This window comes from Homo sapiens, chromosome 1, assembly GCF_000001405.40.
Source record: "Homo sapiens chromosome 1, GRCh38.p14 Primary Assembly".
NCBI lineage: Eukaryota > Metazoa > Chordata > Mammalia > Primates > Hominidae > Homo > Homo sapiens.
Genome location: NC_000001.11, coordinates 50,417,550 through 50,436,634, shown reverse-complemented (window position 1 = coordinate 50,436,634; position 19,085 = coordinate 50,417,550). Strand labels below are relative to the sequence as shown.

Genomic DNA, 19,085 nt, shown 5'->3' with positions numbered 1-19,085 from the left:
CACTGCTCTAGGACCCATCAGAGAAGGGTCAGAGAGCCCTGCACAATGTCACTGTGTTACGGGTGTCTACAGAAAAGCCGAGAACATGATGTGAAGAGAGGAGGCGGAGAACTAAACTTGCTGAGCACTTACAATGTGCCCAGTACTGTGCTTGGAGCATTACAGACCTCTTTCCTCATGTAACCTCACAATAACTCTATGAGATGGTGGTCTTGGCCCTATTTTGAAGAGGGAACAGGCTCAAAAGGTGAAATGATTTGCCTGAGTTCAACAGCTTATAAAGAACAGAGCAGAGTTTTGGACCAAGACCTTTGACTCAAAAACCCCTGCTGTGTTTATGACAATACAGTATCTTCAAGGAAAGTGTCATATATGACCAAGGCATTTCTTTTTTTCTTTTTTTCTTTTTTTTTTTTTTTTTCTGTAGAGACAAGGTCTTGCTCTGTTGCTCAGGCTGGTCTTGAACTTCTAGGCTCAAGCAGTCCTCCAGCCTCAGCCTACCAGTGTTGGGATTACAGGAGTGAGCCACCATACCCAGCCGAAGGCGTTGCAATTAATAATGGCAATAATAATAACATTTTTAAAGTATTGGTGGATGCTAAGAGGGGTAAAGTCATATTTTTATAGTAAACTCAGCTCTCCAAAATACTCATTCTTCATACGGTTCTTAGTGCTAATGTTATATAGAAATGTGTCAGGAGCTAGAATTTAAGCAACACCTTATAAGTGCATGCAGTGATTTAAGAAGGATCTTATATATTCTACTTATTTGACATCTTCAAAATCCATTCTCTGCTCCTTCATCCTTCATCCCACTACCTTTTCTTCCCTTCAGACCTTTACTGTCTGTCACTTGAGTTATAAAACTACACCCTAGACCGGGCGCGGTGGCTCATTCCTGTAATCCCAGCACTTTGGGAGGCCAAGGCAGGCGGATCATCTGAGGTCAGGAGTTCAAGACCAGCCTGACCAACATGGAGAAACCCCGTCTCTACTAAAAATACAAAATTAGCTGGGCATGATGGCGCATGCCTGAAATCCCAGCTACTCAGGAGGCTGAAGCAGAAGAGTCGCTTGAACCCAGGAGACGGAGGTTGCGGTGAGCTGAGATCATGCCATTGCACTACAGCCTGGGTAACAAAAGTGAAACTCCATCTCAAAAAAAAAAAAAAAAAAAAAACTGCATCCTAATTGATCTCCCTTTCTCCAGTCCCTTCTATTATAGACCGGTCACCACACAACTGCCAAAAAGAGCTTTCTAAAACACCTGCTTCACTGTGTCACACCCTGCTTTGATCCTCTCAAAGGCTTGCTGTTGCCCTCCAAATAAAATCCAAACTCTTGGCTTGGATTTAAAACTCTGTCATCTGGCCGCTACCTCCCTCCCCATCTGTATCTCCAGCCATGCCCTCAACACACATCCTGAGCTACCTGCAGTTTCCTGAAAGTGCCAGTTCTCTGTCATCTCTGGCCTTGCACACTGTGTCCTCTGCCCTAATAGATTCCTACCATCCATCCATCCTTCACTTTCAGTTTATACTTCACTTCCTTCAAGATGGTTTCTTGACCATTGCCACACCCTCCTCACACTCCTCGGGTTAGACACAGGAGTGCTGTGAGTCTTCAGACTTGTTGCTGCCCTTTTCATAGCACTGGATCACTCTGAGCTGTAACTCTCAGCTTGCATACTCTTTCTCCCCTAACCCCCAGACTGGGACCCCCGCAAATGGCCTGAGTTACTTCATATTCTTGAAGCCTAATCAAATGGCTAGTACATAATAAGCACACAGTAAGTTTGGATTTATTAACTTAATTTATAAAAATAAATAATGGCATCCATGTACTAATTAGATGTCCACTTCCATCTCTAGCATCCAACTCGTGGGAACATTGAGAGGGCAGAGACCAGATCTTAATCATCCGTTTATTTCCAGAGTCAGCCCAGGGTCTGGCACATAACAGTCACACACCCAATGGTTACTGAACTATTAATTAATTGGAGCTGAAGCAAAACCAATTGGAGCTGCTGAGGAAAGAAAAAGACTAAAGGAATTGGTTTTGAGTACCTAGGTAAGCCCAGCACACTGCTAGGGCCTTAATAGACTCTGTCCTCCCATGCCATCCTCAGAATTACTCTGTGAGGTTGGTACTATTATTATCCTTATTTTACAGCTAAGAAAACATTCAGAAAGATTGTGTCACTTGTCTCAGAGACACAGGTAGTAGGGAGAGGAGCTGGGCTTCTACTCTGGATCTGTGCCCAAAGCTCATGCTTGCTGTTTTCCCTCATTGATGAGGTCCCCGTTCCTGAGATGCTTCAGTGGTGGAACTTCTAACCCACAGAGAGTAGAGTATAATAAAAATCCTCACATACTCCCATCCCCCTTGCTTTCTAGGATACTGTACTGCCCTCATTTTCTTCTCACCTCTCTGAAAGGTCCTTCTCTGTCTCTTATGTAGGGTTTTCTGCCTGCCTATTAAACGTCAGCAGCCCTTGAGTTCCTTCCTCAGTTTGCTGCTCTTCTCTCAAACTCTCCTTAGATAAGAGGCAATCTGTACTTTGAGACTCAGCTCCAATTTTGTGTAAGGTCTAAACTCCGTGAGAGTAGGGTCAATCTGACTTGTCTTATCGTCATCACAGGTCTGACTCTGCATAGGTGCTTGATAAGTACCTATTGATAATACAGTGAACACTTCTATCATGTTTATTGTATGCCGGTCACTATGAGATTTATTTGTTTTAACTCATTTACTCCTCAACAACCGTATAAAGTAGGAGCTATTATCCTCAACTTATTTGTGAGCAAGCTGAGGCACAAGAGGTAATTTGCCTACATTCACAAAGCTAGTAAACCAAGGATCCAGGATTCAAACACAGGCAATTTGGCTCCAGAGTTCAGGCTAGTACTATACTTCACTATTTCTCCAGGAAGGCTCCCCAACCCCCAGGACAAGTCAAAGTCCTCTTCTAGTCCCTTTCTTTGCCCCTAGCAGAGCAGTTATCACATTATTGTGATTATTTGTACAGAAGTCTCCCTCTCTGGACCCTGACAGGTCCATCTTCACATGACCCAACACAGGGCACAGACAGTAAGTGTTACATGAGTGAATGAACTCCAACACTACCCTATGAGGTGGATCATACCATAGCTGTTTCATACATTGATAAACTGAGGCTTAGAGTAGTTAAGTCATTTGCCCAAAGTCTCATAACTACTATATGACATATCCATGACCCATGATTGAGGCTGTCTATCTCCAAAGCAAATATTTTTCCCACCATGCATTTCTGGCAGACCAGCATTTAATTTAAGTACTACTTAAGTACCTTTGCCTTATGGAGAGCAGGTTAGATTTGACTCATCCATTCATTGCTGTCTTTAAACACCAGATCCTTAGCCTCTACCTTTGACCCAGAACTTCCAAGCTGGAGTGGGTTGGGGCCACCAATTTCAGGGTGGTGCTAGAAGAGTTCCAGGAGCTGTGGGAACCCAGAGGAGGTCCCCAGTCCGGGCTGTCAGAAAGGCTTCTGGGAATAGGTAAACCCCATCTGGGAGCCTGGTAATCTGAGATCCCGGAATTAGAAAAAGGAGGCATCCTACAGGATCAGAATGGAGCTTGCCCTTCTGGGATCAGATCTCCAGGCTCCTGGAAATGTTACCTGCCTTACACACTGGTAACATTTGTATAGGACTTCTGAGGAGACAACGAAGAGAGTCTTACTGAAACTTTTCTCTGATTTGGGGGTCAGGTGGAAGCACAGGTAAGGGGAACCAGGTGGGCAGTCAGGAACTTTGGTATATTCCCAGAGATGGGCACCAAGGGCTCAGCTGAGCATCTCACACGAGAATCATAATCTTCCTAACTGTGTTTGCGTAGTCCTTGTCTCATTTCAGATCATTTCCAAATGCAGTAGGTCTACCTTTCCTCATTCTATAGATGGAGAAACAGGCTCAGAGCAGTGAAGTGACTTGCCACAGCCTCCATTCTGGCATGCCTTTAACCATGGCAAGCATCAGTGAGGAACTAGTTTGTGCAGCTATCACTTGCATGCCTTGGTTTCTTCCAGCTGTGCATTTTATGCATCTTTTACATGTTGCAGGAGGTCAGGGGCTCAGAGAGAAGAACACATTCTCTGCAATAAAAGTGGCACTGTGTCATGGGGGCATGGAGCCCAGCCCCTGCCTTTGGGGAGCCCCACTAGAAGCCAGCAGTGCTAGGGTGTGCCCCAAGGAGTGGAGGCCCTGAGAAGAGATGGGGTGAAGGGGGGCAGGTGCACTTCCCATAGAGGCTTGGGGCAGGCCCCGGGCTGTGCTTCTTCCTATTTACTGGGGCAGTACCACTTTGTGCCTTGAGGCAAACAGGTTCTGGTTAATTGAGCTTCTGGAGAGGGTGGTAGGTGGAGTGGATGAAGTGACCTAGGGAAGGAGATGGCCCAGAATCTCTCTGGGATCTTGAGCATCCCAGGCCAGTGAAGGGTCTGGGCCATGCAAATCTGCCAGAATTCTGGTTCTGAAGGGAGTTTTAAGATTATGGTTCAAAATCAGAGGCACCTGAGAAGGCACCTCCTATTGCCGGCTCCCAGCTCCCCAGTCTTCCTTCTCATGAAGGCAGAAGGGTGCTGAGAAGGGAACTGTTCCTCTCTGGACTGAAAGCAGAGAGGGATTCACTCATTCAGTAACTGCCTAATAAATAATAATACCCAGCACTTCTTGAGTGTTTACTATATGTCAGGCACTGAGAAGGACTTTACATGAATTGCATTATTGAATCCTCACAATGACCCAATGAAAGTTTTGCTTCTACCCCCATGTTACATGTATTAAATGCAGGACTCCAGCCCAGCTCAGCTTCCACACTAGTAGCCCTGCTTAGCCCAGGCCCTGCGACCAGAGGTGCTGAGGACACTTGAAGGGGCTGTCAAACATTTGACTGGCAGTGAGAACATAGGGTAGTCCATCCTGTGGGGTAAAGGAGGCTGTAGGTGCACAGAAGGGAGTGAAGAAGCCCCTAAAGAAAGAGGCTTCTTTCAAACAGCGAAGGAAGTGCTCCCTCCATTGTGCCCCAACCAGTTCAGGGAACTGGGGAGGGAAAGTGGCCTCAATCCCACTTTCAAGTCTCCAACCAGCTCTCTCCTGAAGACCCAAAGAACAGTTCTCACCCCTCCCCCCACTGGCTGTATGCCCCTGGGAAAGTCACCTGCTCTGTATACCTCAGTTTCCTCTGGTATAAATCCGAGGTAAAGATGGGTAACTATGTGGCTTCGGAGAGGGTAGAATGCAGAGGTACTTGGAGAGTTTGCGGAGTCAGTGTGTGCCTATTGTGCCTCTGACAAGATCTCTGAGGCTGGGTCGTAAAGGGTGAGTAGAAGTTCTCCAGGTAACTGATGTCTTGGGACTGGGAATCTGTAGGAGGCAGACATATGTGCGTCAGTGCCGCAGCAAGCCTGGAGTCCCTACCTCCCATCGCAGCAGGCTGTCTACTTGTGCGCCAGCTCCTCCACCCCGACCCTGCCAGGAAAGAGTTATGTTGGGCTGTGCACCAACTAGTATCGAGCTTCAAGTTGAAGAAGGATGGGCCAGGCAGGCCCTGAGCCAGTCAGGTAGCTAGAAACTCCCTGGTCCACACACAGCCTAGGAGACTGCGCATCTCAGCAGGAAATGTGAGGGGTGGGGGAAGAAGTCCGAGTAGAACTCTTTATTTGAGGGAAAGCCGCCAACAGGGCTGTGTGTGTGTGTGTGTGTGTGTGTGTGTGTGTGTGTGTGTGTGTATTAGGCTTCCCCCTCCCAGACCTGTTCCCCTTATCTCCAGTTTGTTGGATAACCCGAAGGTTACAGGCTGGGAATAGGCTGGGACTACTTGGCTGCCGAAGGTCACTCGCCGCACTACGGAGGGAGGGAGTCTGGACTCAAACCCAGGCTGACCCGGCCCAGGAACCAGCCCGAATGCCCCTCCTCTCTACAGTCTCCTTTCTCCACAAGTAGTGGCCTGGCTGCCTATCCTCCAGGCAGTCTGACTCCGGGGTAGCCGGGAGGCGAGCCCAGAGAGGGCTGGCGACTCGCTCACGGTCACACAGTGCGGCGGAAGCTCCGTATCTGGATGGCTCATCAGCCCCGGAGCCGATTCTCGGAATCGCTATTTCAAGGGGTCCTCTTGGGAGATGGAAACCAGGAGAAGGATGGCCCAAAGAAGACCACGTAGCCGGTGCACACCATCCGCAATGCCCCAGGAAGACCTGCAAATCACACTCTACATCCTCATCCCTCCCTCCTCCTGGTCATTTCCGGGTCCTTCCAAACTCAGCTGGGTGGGAAAACTGTAAAAACTAACTTAAAAATTGTTAATGGGAGAGAGGTCACAAAGGAGGCGGGTTCCAAGATAAATATACTATTATGAGTAACTTTCTTATGATCCTGTCATAACCTGTTAGACGCTGTAGTGGGTGAAAAGATTCCATTCACAATAGCTACATAAAATACGGAAGGGAGAATATATGTTTAAGAAACAGAATTGTTGAGAAAAAATGACAGCAGTTACCAAGATACATAAAAGTCATGATAACGTCACACCAAGTCCTAGATGGAAATGTCTCACATTGTGAAGATGCATAATATCCCTCAAATTAATTTCTAAAGGTACTTAAATTCCCCCCCCCCCCAATATTTTTTACTTTTTTGGAAGTAGCTTTAAAATTCCTAAAATATTTATTCAGAAGCCTGTATTTTGAAAATAGCCATGAGAATGTGGAAAAAAAGAAAAATCAGAAGGATGACTTGCCCTCCCAAATACTACAGAACTACAATAATTAAAATGGTGAGGCTGGTGCAAGAAGAGTAAACAGCTCCCTTGAAGAGAATATGCTGAGATCAACCTACAGCCATCTGAGAATTTGGTATATAGTATATGGTCAGTAGGGGAAAGGGTTCATTGAAGAGTGCTGTGATAAATGGCTAATTATTGAGGAAAATGAAGCTACAAACCACACCTTCCATCAAAATTAATTTCCAATAAACTAAAGATATAAATGTAAATAATGAAAAAAGAGCTAATACAAATATAGGCCAATGCTTGTAGACGGTTGGATTTGAGAAATCCTTACATATACAACTGTAAATAGATTCTACAAAAAATATATAAATTTTGGTCTACATAAACGTTTTAAAACTCCAGCATTACAATAGCAAGACAGCCACAAAAAAGTGAGGAAACGCAGCACATGTTACAGACAGAAGATACTATTGTCCTTGATATATAAATTACTATTACAAATTAAGGAAAGTAGAAGCTCTATGATTGAAAAATAAGCAAATGATGTATATAAATAATTTTTAAAACAACTTAACTGACCGATCCATGTAGGAAAAAGTAAGGAATAACTAAGGAAATGCAAATTATAACAATGATATACTATTTTTCTTGTTTGAATTGGCAAAGATTTAAAAGATCAGCAAGATGTGCTTGTATTGAGTGTGTTCATTGATACCTTTCCTGTGGGCTATTTGATAGCTATCAAAAGCCTTTAAAAAATGTAAAAAGCCTCTGGCCGATCAATCTTATTTTTAGGAATTTATCCTAGGTAAATAATTGGCAAATTCACAAAGGATGTTTGTGGTAGCAATATTTATTAGAGCAAAAACTGGAAACAAACAAAATACCTATTAACAGGGAAATGGCTAAAGAAAGAGGGATCCATGCAATGGAACATTAAACAATCATTTAAAAGGTTATGTAGATAGATTAATATTAAAATCCTTATATTTGTAAACAAAAACCAAGTACTGTAAAGTATATTTTTGTCAGTGTAGGTAAACAGGAAAAAAAATTAGCAAAATTCACCAAATATATTTTGCTGAATTTTCTAAAATGTTTTATAAGACTTTTATTCTATCAGAACAAGCAATAACAGTGTTTCCTTTTGGGAAACCTAACCTCTCACATCAGAGGTCCCTTTCTTGGGGAAGTTTCCCCTCATTCTCCTTCCCCCATTCCCAAGATTAGACTTCTCACTGTGAGGTCATTGATAGGTGACTGTGTCCCCAGTTGGCTAACAAGTTCTGTAAGGGCCCATTATGGTTGATTTGTCTCGGATCCGTAGAGCTTGGCACATACTAGATGCTCAACAAATGCTGTTACATAAACGAATTAATAAGTGAATGAATGAATGACTCCTACTTTCATGTTTCTGTGAATGATTAGTGAACTGAATGGAATCGAACCAAATGGAAGCCCCTAGGTCTGATCCTACCCACTCGGAACGGAAGGTGAGGAGAAAAAAACCTAAGAGTGGGAGTTGGATCTGGATTTCTGTCTTTTTCGAAGTTCGGCAGCACTCTGGCCCCAGGCAAGTTATGTCGCCTTGTTGAACTTTGGCTACCTCGTGTCTGAAATGTGGAACATCGCATCTTCCCCCAAGGACTGCGTGCCAAGCAAGAGAGCACACACCGAGTGTTTATCAGAGTGGCTGTACTCAGTAGACGCTCACAAATAGAAACAAATAGTGGGGCGGTGAACACCGCTCTCCATGCGTTTGTCTCAGGCTTAGATGCTCCCAACCAGAAAATCGTGAGAAGCCTGGCGACACTGGGCAGACGCCTCCCTTCCGCCTGCCCGGAAGACGCGAGGGCTTGATCCAAAGGAGGGCTGCAGCCGCTGGGACTCCGCCTCGGGGGCTCCTGCCGCTCAATCAGCACCAGTGCCCTCGCTCCTCCACCTTCAGTTGGTTGTTCTGCCCGGCCTTTAGGTCCGGGGTCCGGATAGAAGCTGAGCACCAGCGGGTTCCCGGCCAACGGGTGTGGAGGGGTGCATTGGGCCAGGAGCCGATTCGCAGCGCCCGCTGCGCCTGCACTGTGCAGACAGACCTGGCTTTGGATGAGGGTACTCCCGGGTTTGATTTTTGCACTGTTACTCACTAATTGTGATAATGTGGAACAAGTCATCTCACCTCTCCGAGTCTGTTTTCTCACCTGACAAGTGGAATAATCGGACCTGCCTCGCAGAGAATGGTGCGACTTCAGTAAGCAACTGTAGGGAAATCGCTGGGCTCCTGGCCCTTAGCTGGAAGAGCGCCTGAGAAACCCGGCGCCACCACAGGAGTACTTTCTGGCTCCGAAATTATGCCCGGTCCCAGGTCGTGGCATAGATCCGTGGCTATGACCACGGAAAATGACCATTTTAGCGGTGTCAGAGGACGGGGACAGGAAACCAAGCTGCGCGTCTCCCTGTCCACAGAGGGTGTGCGCGGCTGAGGGTCTTCATCAGCATGACTCATGAGTTGATCTGGAGGAAAATGTCGCTACGTGTCTGTGTGTACACGTGCGTGTGTTCACATAGGAACAGGAGAGTCTGTGGTTGTGCGGGAAAACGCGTGTAGGGCAACCCGTGGAGATTCCTTCTCCCAAAGGCACTTTCCCCCTTTCCTCTGCGCCCCATTCCCGGGCGGAGAGTATCAGCCAAACTAACGGAATCCGGCGCGGCCAGGGAAGGGGTGGGTGCGGGAGGGGCCATTCCGTCCCGGAGCCACCGGTTTGGGGATAATTACTTTTAATGTCAGAAAGATTTAGTTTAATATCATCTCTATTAGGCTGCCGGGAGGGTAATTAAACGGGACGCGTCGCAGCCGGCAAACAGATGGCGTCTGCTTGCTCCGAGGCCGCGGGCAAACAGCGCAAAAGTCAATGCCTCCCGGGTCCCCCATCGGCGCCCCTGGCTCTTTTACTCAGAGCTACACTACTCACCCTCGGCCCCCTTCCCCACGCCGCGTCTCCAGCCGGCTCTGCGCCCTAGGCCCTCAACCCCGGCCTCACCCCAACGCAGTCCCTTTGGACGCCACCAGTTCCTGGGCGTGGGCGTGGGGGATGGGGCCGGGGGCGAATAGGGATGGGGTGGATTTTCTTGGCTGGGCCCTCTCACCCGGGCCCCCAGCCCCTGGCACAGCAGAGGCGTCAGCAAATGATTCTGAGCTAAGAGTACGCGTGTGGATGTGTGAGGAAGACCCTCTGCTCTCAGCCGCCTCATTTGTCCCGGAGGGTTTTGGCTTTTTCTGCCCGGGGCCCAACTGTAGAAGTAAGACTGGAGCTCCGCGCATAAACCAGGGCATACCTGCGTAAGAATGTGCTCCTGTCGGCGTGTGCTATCACCGAGGTGGAAATCTGTGGGAGTCTGGGAATGTCACACACCAAGTGGATGGCCCAGGATGGGGACATGCTTATAAGAACACTGTGAGGTCAAACTCACTGAAGGGGTCCCCTTGAGCCGGAGGGTAGCATCAGAGTTGAGCCTGGGCCCGGTGGTGCTCTCTGAATGCTGGCGTGAGAGTGTGTCCCAAACTTTGCAGAGAGTGGTCACACGCACGTGGGAGGGGGTGTGTCCAAGTGTGAAGCTACACTCAGGTTGGGAAGGGGGTAGACCCTGCTGCCTCAACCTGGGCGTGCTCTACTAGTGCTGGTGGCTCAGTTGGGCCATGCCCTTGCTTTCCCCTCCGACCAACCCAATCCAAATCAGGAGGAACTGGCCCTGGAGCGGCCTGGGAAGCTGGGCAGAGGATATCCTGCCCTGTCGAAGTGTGGGTGAGATGACCTTGGGTTTATTTGCCCTCCCTCCATAACGGGTTTATTTTGCCTCCCTCCATAACACATTCACTCACATGAACACCCTAACCTCCGGGGAGTGGGAGAAAAGGCTGTGGGTCTCAGACCTGTGGGGATGTGAATGCCAGAAAAGAGGAGCGAGAGAAGAGTGAGATGCCGCCACTAGGGGTTGGGCGGATTCCCTCTGGTTGGGCTGTGTTAGATGCCAGGATGCTCCTCCTCCCACTCCTGAGAAAATGAAGTTCCTCACGCATCTGCTGGGCCGCCTCGGGTTCCCGAGTCCTCGTGGCTACACCCTTGGCTTCTGCGGGATCCCCGGTCCGGAGTGGGGAAATCTCACGGTGACCTGGCCTCAAGCGAGAAGGATACCTGGGCCACCGCCCCCTCAAAAGCTAGGCAGATTTGTATAGTTTATTTCGTTTTCGGTTTAATAGAATTTCCCGAAAACTTTGTCCAAAGGAGCTCTGGGAGCAGGCGCCTGGCGGCCCCTGCGCGGAATCCGGCGGTTGTCGGCGCTCTTCCCCCGACCCCATGGCTCACCTACCCAGGTGCAGCCGGGGCTAGACATACTTGGCCTCGGAACCTCCAGGTGTTGGAAGGTGGGGTCTGGGTCCTGCGCTCCTAGAGGACATATTATCCCTGAAGCACTCCCTTATCCTCACTTCACGCGGGAGACCCTCGCGGGGGCTGACACCCTTCTCTCTCCTAAACCCATTCACAGACTCCAGCAAGTGGCATTTTCTGGGAGCGAGTAACCAGCTTTTTATCGCTATCATAGACCTTGTCCGTGTCGGAGCGCCCTCGCGCCGGGGCCTGGTGAACTTTCTGGAAGCTCTCCGCCCGGTCCTCCAGCGAATCACCCCCACCCACTCCTCCCTCCAGCCTCAGCCTCCCGGTGGGCATCTTCCAGGGCTCTTCCGGGGCGCCAGGTTCTGCGGTCTTCGGGTGGGGGCCCGTTAGTCGCACCGTCCTTCCCCCACCCCCATTCCTGGGCTCAGAAGCTGATAGACTGACAAGACGCGGCCCAGTAGTCGTGCCAGGCGGAATGGGCTGCGTCCTGAGGCCGCGACGACCCGGGCCGAGTCTGCGCGCCCAGATTCCCGCCGGCCTGGAGGTTCGAAAGAGCAACGCAGAGACGCACGGTCAAGAGTGGAGGGAGAACGACAGGAACGCTCATTTTCCTCATTATTTAAACGAATTTTCTTTATTCTGAAGGAGAGAGAGAAAAGTAGAGAACAAAAACGAGAGTGACAGAACATTAGAAATTAGAGGGAAAAACAGAATTAGAGGGAAAAACAGAACTTTAGAAATTAGAGGGGAAAAGACACAGAGATAAAATCAGAGCTACAGAAACCGAGGGCGACTCGCCCGAGGGCCGCGGCATTAATTCCAGATGTTTGAAAGGCAACAGCCTTTCAAAAAGGAAACAAAATCTGAAACCTGTTACCTCTTCTGCAGAACGAGCTGTTCCTCAGGGCCGTGACATCAAGACAAGACGAGAATAAGGCGAAAGTTAAAACTGAAAACTGTCCGAGGGGGCCTCCCAGCAGTGACTTTGTCTCTTGCCGGGAAGGTCGGACAGACCGATGCGCGTCCTGAGTTTAAGAGAATCTGCGGAGACACAGAGGCCACTTTTTACTTTCGTTTAGAAAAGAAAAAAAAAGGGGGGGGGGCTATTTGTTCATTTGCAATAACGACAAAAAGAATCCCACCACCACGGAAAAGAAATCGAGATGCTGAAAAGTGAGGAAAAGAGAGCTCAAAAGGGGCTGAGGGACGCGAAAAGAGGGGCGGGGAGAGGAAAGGCTCAGGGCGCGAGGGACGTGGCGGGCACCGACAGGAAGTGCAATCTCATTTCTCTTCGCTGAGCTTCTCTTTAAACACGAAAATCTTCATAAACCACACTTACCCTCCAGGATGACTATCGTATCAGGACTTTTAAAATAAAGTAACTGAGCTTTAAGGAGACAGGAGGAAAAAACCAAAGCAGCCCCCAACTACCCCAAACTCGTCGGATTTGGGAGCGCGCCGAAACATAGCAGGAAGAAGGCAGGAAAAATCGTCCTGGCATTTATGCCTTGAACACCCTCCCTTCCCCACCCCCGCACCCTTGTCCCGCCCCTACCCCGACCGCAGTAATTGAATTGTCACCTGCCCCCCATCCCGCCTCAGGGCTCCAGAGCCACTTGGGAAGCTCGGCTTTGCCAAGCGCCCCAGGCCAGTAAGAGCGGTGCAGCCGAGCCGGCGCCCCAGAAGCCGAGAGGTTACACAAGTCTACGCAGAGAGGCGCACCGGACACGGTAATTAGGAGCAATTCACACGCTCTCGGGCGCACGGAAACTACTTGTCAGGAAATTTTCAACGCTCCTCCTCGCCCACTTTTTTCCACTCCTTTCCTGGCGCGCCCCCTCCCCTCCCAGAGGCACGCAGTGGAGCTTTTGGAGTTTCGAATCTTTCGGACACTGCAGAATGCGGGGCTCCCCGGGCGCGGGCCCGGCCAATCAGAGCGCCGTCTGCCTCCCCTGGCCAATGGCAGGCGCCACATTGTTGTCCAATTCTGTCTAATGGAGCCCTAAGGACCAACAATAGAGCGGGCGAGCGGCTCATTGAGAGTCTGGCAGCGCCGGGCAACTGGGCCCCGGCTGCGCGCAGCGTCCGGCGCGCACCGCGAGGGGACCCGGCACGGCGAGAGTCAGGTCGCGGGTTCCAACCACGCGGCCCGCAGACGAGCCTCCGACCCGGATTTCTGAAGGGAGGGTTGGACTGCGCTGCGTTCTGAGGGGTCCGGAAGTTCGGACATGGTGACTGAAGGAGGGTGACGTGGTCAGATAAGGGGCCGGGGGCAAAGGGAAGCGGCCAAGAGCTCCAGCGTCGCCAGTGGAGCCGGGAGGCGCGTGCAGCGCCAGCGGAGGAGGAGGATCCCGGAGCCCAAGGCAGGTAGTTGAGGGCCGCAGGGAGAGCAGTGGGTGGAGACCTGGTCTGCGGCCCCTGTTGAGGAGGCCTGGGCCCCGTGGGCCTTAGGGACGCCCGAAGGGTCTGGGAGAGGAGGCAACGCTCATAGAGAGGAGGTCTGGGACTCTCGGACGGAGACACAAGGACTCTGTCGCGGGCTCTGGCAGGGACGGGGAACGCGGGAAGCAGAGGAGACCGCGGCAGAAGCGGGGAGCTGGGCCTGCTTGGGCCTTATGGGGCTGCGGCGTGGGAGGGACTCTGGTGTCCGTTTATGGCCAGTTGCGAAGGCGACTCCCCTGGCTTGGTGCGGCCTGCTGGGCCATCCGTGTCCTAGGACCCCAACTCTGAGATCAGAACGCAGGAGCCTGCGCTCGAGAGGGGTCCCCTGGGACCCCAAGACGGGGAGGGCGTGTCTGACGACTCTGTCCCTAAACCCGGAGGGGAGGGGAGGGCAGTGTGAGGTGGTCTTCGAGAAAGATCCCCCTCCCGAAATGCCTAACTTTTCGCAGGATACGTCTTCCGCCCCGACTACTACTCCAGACTGCGAAGCTAAAAAACTGCACCACAGGTTTTACCCAATCCCCTCCCCCAGCATTTGCCTGTGGGGTTTTTTCTTACACATTCCCCTCTCCCAGGCGCGGCCCCTGGATCCCGGACACCCAGATCAGCTGCTTTTCACTGTTTTCCTTGCCCATGAAGCTCATCTTTGGGCTGGGTTTGCCTATACAGAAAGTTTCTTTGGCCGAATTTTTCTCTTTAATACTTCCCAGTCCTAAGCTAAATTCCACATACATTTTGTCTCTCACTCTCTGGAGGCCCTCACCGTGGAACTTTTGGCGCTCACATTTTTACGGGTCCCAGAGCCACTGGGCCTAACTTTGCCCAAGTTGTTTCCTCGTCCTCACTCTGCTTCCTAAAGCTATTCTTTCTGTTGTTGATTTTTCTCTCCAAAGCTTCTGCCCCAAACTGCATTAAAAATAAACAAACAAAAAGAAACAAAACTCCGGCCCAACCGGCCTTCACATCTGCGCCTTCACATCTCTCTCCTCTTCACCCTTCCACCAAACTGACCGTTTTGCTCCGGGTTTTCCTGTTTTGCCCTTGGCATCAGCCTAACTTCTGGGCCAAAACTGTCGCTCTAATCCCAGTCCCGTCAAACGAGCATTTCTCTCACCCGTCTCACCCCAATTAGGCTAAGCTTTGGGGTATCATCTTAACTTTTCCAAATTCTCATTACAGCCATCTGAATCAGTGACTTTCACACTTTACATGTCTCTTTATTTTTTCCAGCGGAATCACTAATTCAGACAAAATCTTACCCCTAGCGTGTATATCAGGTCTAAGAGCAGCCATGGCCAGACTGGGGTGAAGGTGCTAGGGCTCACAAGGAGGTTCCGACTGCACCTCCTCCCAGCAATTCTGGCCCCTCTAGCCCAGCCTCCGCGGCCCAAATTTCCCTCTCCAGCTTGGGTTCCTCAAGGCGGCGCTTTGGCCTAGCGCGCGGTGTGCTCCTCACCAGGTCTCTCCCCTCTCCCACCTTCTTTCCCGTCAGGTCCTGTCATGGAGCTGCGCTCGGAGCTGCCCAGCGTGCCCGGCGCGGCGACGGCGGCGGCGGCAACAGCGACGGGGCCGCCTGTGGCGTCGGTGGCGTCGGTGGCGGCAGCCGCGGCGGCCGCTGCATCGCTACCGGTGAGCGTGGCAGGCGGCTTGCTGCGGGGGCCGCCACTGTTGCTGCGGGCAGCCGAGAAGTACCCGCGGACCCCCAAGTGCGCGCGCTGTCGCAACCATGGCGTGGTGTCGGCCCTCAAGGGCCACAAACGCTACTGTCGCTGGAAGGACTGCCTGTGCGCCAAGTGCACGCTCATCGCGGAGCGCCAGCGTGTCATGGCGGCGCAGGTGGCGCTGCGCAGGCAGCAGGCGCAGGAGGAGAACGAGGCGCGCGAGCTGCAGCTGCTCTACGGCACTGCCGAGGGGCTGGCGCTGGCCGCCGCCAACGGCATCATCCCCCCGAGGCCCGCCTACGAGGTCTTCGGTTCAGTGTGCGCCGCCGACGGCGGGGGACCTGGAGCGGGAGCGCCCGCGGGGACCGGAGGCGGAGCAGCTGGCGCAGGGGGCTCAGGTGAGAGCGCGGCCAGGCCGCAGGTAGGGGCAGCAGGATCGTAGCTCTGGGGCACGGGGCCCAGGGGCTTGTCTCGGTTCAGAAAGAGTAGAACCCCCGTGTCCAGTCGCCGCGACTGCTAGGGTTCACCGCTCGCCCAGCCTCGGGTATGGAGCGTGGGTACAGAAACTCTCCTTTCTCCCGCTTCTGGAGCATTTGCACTTTACCCCTTTCTCCTGCATCGGGCCGAAATGTACACGCTTTAATTTTTTTACTCGCCTCTACCCAAACGCAGGCAGGTCCCTGCTTCTTTGCTTCGTCTTCTCCCCAGGTGGAAACCTGCGCATCTTCGTTCGCTCTGCGCTTCTCCACAGGCCCTTTCCCTCTGCTCCTTCCCAACTCCCTTAAGGAATCCCCCCCCCTTTAACTGACACCCTAGGTTTTGAGACGCCCTAGGTTCTGAGACGCCCTAGTTTCTTTTCCCCTTCTCGCGTTCCTAACGCCCTCTGGACAACCGCTTGCTGCGCCCTCCCTCCTTCTAGTTTCTTCCGCACCCTCCCTGGTTTCTCAGGTCTGCTTTCCTATGTCTTTTCCTCTTCGCTTCCTACTGCCTGCCTAGCACCACCCTCTTTTTCTGGACCCCCGTGGCTTTTTGTGGGGAGGGAAGAAATTAGGCCAGAGCCGTTGAGGGAAAGGAGGGATCCGCTCTAAACTTGGGAGGGAAGAACTTCTCAGGTCTCAATTTTGGAAAGGGTGGATTAGAAACAGGGGCTGTACTTCTGCCTGTAGAGAAGCTTGGGACCTCCTAGATAACCAAGGCGCCTTTCCTTACAGGCTGCACTGCCAGGGCAGGCATTTTCTATACAGTGGGCTCTTCTGTACAGCGTGGTTAGGCAGAAGTTATGTTGTCTCTTGTTTGAACCCTGGACCTGGCCACTTCTCCACGGCAGGGCAGGACTGGAAGGGCAGTTAAGGGTGGAGGTGTTGGGGCACAGACGTGGGGAAAGCAGCACTGAACATCGAGTTTACAGGGCACAGGTAGTTGGGGTTCTGAGGAGTACAGAAAGAGAGGGAGCCCTGGGGTCAGGGCTGTAGGGGCTCAGAGCGGAAGGAATGCTAGAGCAAAAAGAAAGAGGGGCACTGGAGCCTAGTGAATAAGGGCTGTGGGGCTGAGGGAGAGGAAACTGAGATCCAAAGGGCCGAGGTGCTGTGACTGCTGTCTTCTAGCTAACCGCTCCTCACGACACGTTTTCTCCCCTCCCAGAGGCCAAGTTGCAGAAGTTTGACCTGTTTCCTAAGACGCTGCTGCAGGCAGGCCGCCCGGGCAGCCCGCTGCCGCCGCCGGTGAAGCCCTTATCACCCGACGGCGCAGACTCGGGGCCCGGGACGTCGTCCCCAGAGGTGCGGCCCGGCTCAGGCTCGGAGAACGGCGATGGCGAGTCCTTTTCTGGTTCGCCCCTAGCTCGGGCCTCCAAAGAGGCAGGTGGCAGCTGCCCAGGCAGCGCTGGCCCTGGCGGCGGCGGCGAGGAGGACAGCCCGGGCTCCGCTAGCCCTCTGGGCTCTGAATCCGGTTCAGAGGCTGACAAAGAAGAGGGTGAGGCCGCGCCGGCGCCAGGGCTGGGCGGAGGCTCGGGTCCACGGCAGCGGACGCCGCTGGATATCTTGACACGCGTGTTCCCAGGCCACCGGCGAGGCGTCCTGGAGCTGGTGTTGCAGGGCTGCGGCGGCGACGTGGTGCAGGCCATCGAGCAGGTGCTGAACCACCACCGTGGGGGCCTGGCGGCCGGCCTGGGCCCTGCGGCGCCCCCAGATAAGGCCGCCGTGGGTGCTGCAGCAGCTGCAGACGACGCGTGGCCCAGCCGCGTCGACGCCGCCGCCGCCGCCGCCGCCGCCGCCGGGGGGCCTGGGCTGCCTGCGCCGCTGCAGGCGGGGCCCGCCGCACCTCCGCACCACAGACCCTTGCTGGCCGGCGCCATGGCGCCTGGGGCGCTGGGCTCGCTGAGCAGCCGCTCGGCCTTCTCGCCGCTGCAGCCCAACGCCAGTCACTTCGGTGCCGACGCGGGCGCCTACCCGCTGGGCGCGCCGCTCGGCCTCAGCCCCCTGCGCCTGGCCTACTCCGCGGCGGCGGCGCACAGCCGCGGTCTGGCCTTCATGGCGCCCTACTCCACTGCCGGCTTGGTGCCCACGCTCGGCTTCCGCCCACCCATGGACTACGCCTTTAGCGATCTCATGCGTGACCGCTCGGCCGCCGCTGCTGCGGCGGTGCACAAGGAGCCGACCTACGGCGGCGGCCTGTACGGGCCTATGGTCAACGGCGCTCCGGAGAAGCAGTAGGGCGAGGGGCCTGGCAGCCGGCCGGTCCCCAAACAGGAACCCCAGCCCTGTTCCCGCGGGCCATCGACCCCTCTTCGCCCAGCGCTCTCTCTGCGCCCTGGCTGGGCGTCTTCTCACTCTAAGGTGGTTTTTGGGTTTTGTTTAGGAGGGTGGGTGGGGAAGGCTGAGCAAAGGGGGAGCAGCTACAGACAGGTGCAGGTGTTCTCGGAGGGGGTGCGCGGCCTGGGTCCTCATCTCCTACCTCCGGATCCCTCTTCCAGCCTCACCCGGCCCCCTTTCCAAAAGGCTGGGAATTCATGAGAATTCAGAGGCTGCGACAGCAGCGCAGGCTCCTGCGGCTCCTTAGCTGTGCTCATCCGGCTCTCAGTGGATGGCAGGATAATCCGAGAGTCTTTTCTGTGTCTCCCCAGCCCTCACTTTTAAAAAATTTAAATATTCGCTCTAACAAATATAAATTTAGGATGTATAAATCTCTTGGCACTGAGTCTTTGGGACACACATATATATCGATACAATTGTAAAAAAAAAAAAAGGAAACAAGTTTTAAGGTGCACTTTCCTCGTTGCGGTATTTGTCGCTCTCTTTGTTGCTTATGCCGATAAGCATGGGTTTCCTTGGTGCAGTGTGTTTTTATATATGTATAAATCTATATATAATCTATACATATATATATACAAGCCAGTGTATAATGTTATAAAATGGAATTCTAAGTTATTAATTGTAATCTGTAGGTGACCTCGGTATTAACGTGAAAAACATTCAAAACAAGCAAAAAAAGGGACAAAATGGAAAAAAATTAGACTATGCGCGCATTGTACTTATCAGGTTTAGAGATTAAATATATTGGAAACTCGGGATGAATCCTGCCCACCTGCCCCTCTTGCCTGCGGCTGGTCTGTCCCTAAGGAGCCGTCAAGGTGCGCACTGAAGCAGGAACAGAGCGACGTGTGACTGAGCCAGAACCGCCCGCTCGCGGGCCCATCCTCGCCTCCCGGGACTCGCCAAACGCCCTGACTGAAGGGCCCGCAGCGGAAAACGCTGCTGCAGAGCAGCACTTTGTGCTTTCCTTTGCATAGATATGAGCTAGAAATAAATGTTATTTTCTAAGAAAACAA

General features: G+C 52.5%; 1 protein-coding gene and 1 long non-coding RNA gene across 4 annotated transcripts, besides 6 other annotated features; one reads left to right on the top strand and one right to left on the bottom strand.

Annotated features, from left to right (window-relative positions):
• Nucleotides 8,199-9,191: an enhancer, noted in NCBI's record as "H3K4me1 hESC enhancer chr1:50893116-50894108 (GRCh37/hg19 assembly coordinates)". NCBI's record gives its function as "activates a minimal SCP1, AML or CMV promoter by ChIP-STARR-seq in naive H9 embryonic stem cells {active_cell/tissue: H9 hESC(naive)}" and the evidence as "EXISTENCE:reporter gene assay evidence [ECO:0000049][PMID:30033119]".
• Nucleotides 9,192-10,185: an enhancer, noted in NCBI's record as "H3K4me1 hESC enhancer chr1:50892122-50893115 (GRCh37/hg19 assembly coordinates)". NCBI's record gives its function as "activates a minimal SCP1, AML or CMV promoter by ChIP-STARR-seq in primed H9 embryonic stem cells {active_cell/tissue: H9 hESC(primed)}" and the evidence as "EXISTENCE:reporter gene assay evidence [ECO:0000049][PMID:30033119]".
• LOC105378714 (uncharacterized) lies at nt 11,763-13,089 on the bottom strand. 2 transcript variants are annotated; one of them, XR_947325.3, is made up of 3 exons: nt 12,738-13,089; nt 12,034-12,197; nt 11,763-11,795 (listed from the first exon to the last, which is right to left on the bottom strand). It is a non-coding gene; the product is annotated as an uncharacterized LOC105378714 (long non-coding RNA). The 2 variants fall into 2 exon arrangements; XR_007066076.1 differs by having other exon boundaries at nt 12,879-13,089.
• Nucleotides 12,010-12,069: a silencer, noted in NCBI's record as "silent region_863". NCBI's record gives its function as "represses an Ori minimal core promoter by ATAC-STARR-seq in GM12878 lymphoblastoid cells {active_cell/tissue: GM12878}" and the evidence as "EXISTENCE:reporter gene assay evidence [ECO:0000049][PMID:35858748]".
• Nucleotides 13,090-13,191: 102 nt separating the features above from the next.
• DMRTA2 (DMRT like family A2) lies at nt 13,192-19,085 on the top strand. Of its 2 annotated transcripts, NM_032110.3 has the most exons (3): nt 13,192-13,519; nt 15,091-15,657; nt 16,901-19,085. In NM_032110.3, the coding sequence occupies exons 2-3, from the start codon at nt 15,099-15,101 to the stop codon at nt 17,968-17,970; spliced, it is 1,629 nt and encodes a 542-aa protein (NP_115486.1). In that variant the 5' UTR covers nt 13,192-13,519; nt 15,091-15,098; the 3' UTR covers nt 17,971-19,085. The 2 variants fall into 2 exon arrangements, with proteins under 2 accessions (NP_115486.1, NP_001424750.1); NM_001437821.1 differs by having other exon boundaries at nt 13,192-15,657.
• Nucleotides 14,897-15,396: an enhancer, noted in NCBI's record as "H3K4me1 hESC enhancer chr1:50886911-50887410 (GRCh37/hg19 assembly coordinates)". NCBI's record gives its function as "activates a minimal SCP1, AML or CMV promoter by ChIP-STARR-seq in naive H9 embryonic stem cells {active_cell/tissue: H9 hESC(naive)}" and the evidence as "EXISTENCE:reporter gene assay evidence [ECO:0000049][PMID:30033119]".
• Nucleotides 16,632-17,581: an enhancer, noted in NCBI's record as "H3K27ac-H3K4me1 hESC enhancer chr1:50884726-50885675 (GRCh37/hg19 assembly coordinates)". NCBI's record gives its function as "activates a minimal SCP1, AML or CMV promoter by ChIP-STARR-seq in primed H9 embryonic stem cells {active_cell/tissue: H9 hESC(primed)}" and the evidence as "EXISTENCE:reporter gene assay evidence [ECO:0000049][PMID:30033119]".
• Nucleotides 17,582-18,532: an enhancer, noted in NCBI's record as "H3K27ac-H3K4me1 hESC enhancer chr1:50883775-50884725 (GRCh37/hg19 assembly coordinates)". NCBI's record gives its function as "activates a minimal SCP1, AML or CMV promoter by ChIP-STARR-seq in primed H9 embryonic stem cells {active_cell/tissue: H9 hESC(primed)}" and the evidence as "EXISTENCE:reporter gene assay evidence [ECO:0000049][PMID:30033119]".

What these genes read in the sequence shown, in the direction of transcription:
- DMRTA2 (NM_032110.3), top strand. Translation starts at nt 15,099, where the DNA reads ATGGAGCTGCGCTCGGAGCTGCCCAGCGTGCCCGGCGCGGCGACGGCG. An exon ending in AGCTGGCGCAGGGGGCTCAG is followed by an intron (nt 15,658 to 16,900) that starts GTGAGAGCGCGG and finishes CTCCCCTCCCAG; the next exon opens with AGGCCAAGTTGCAGAAGTTT.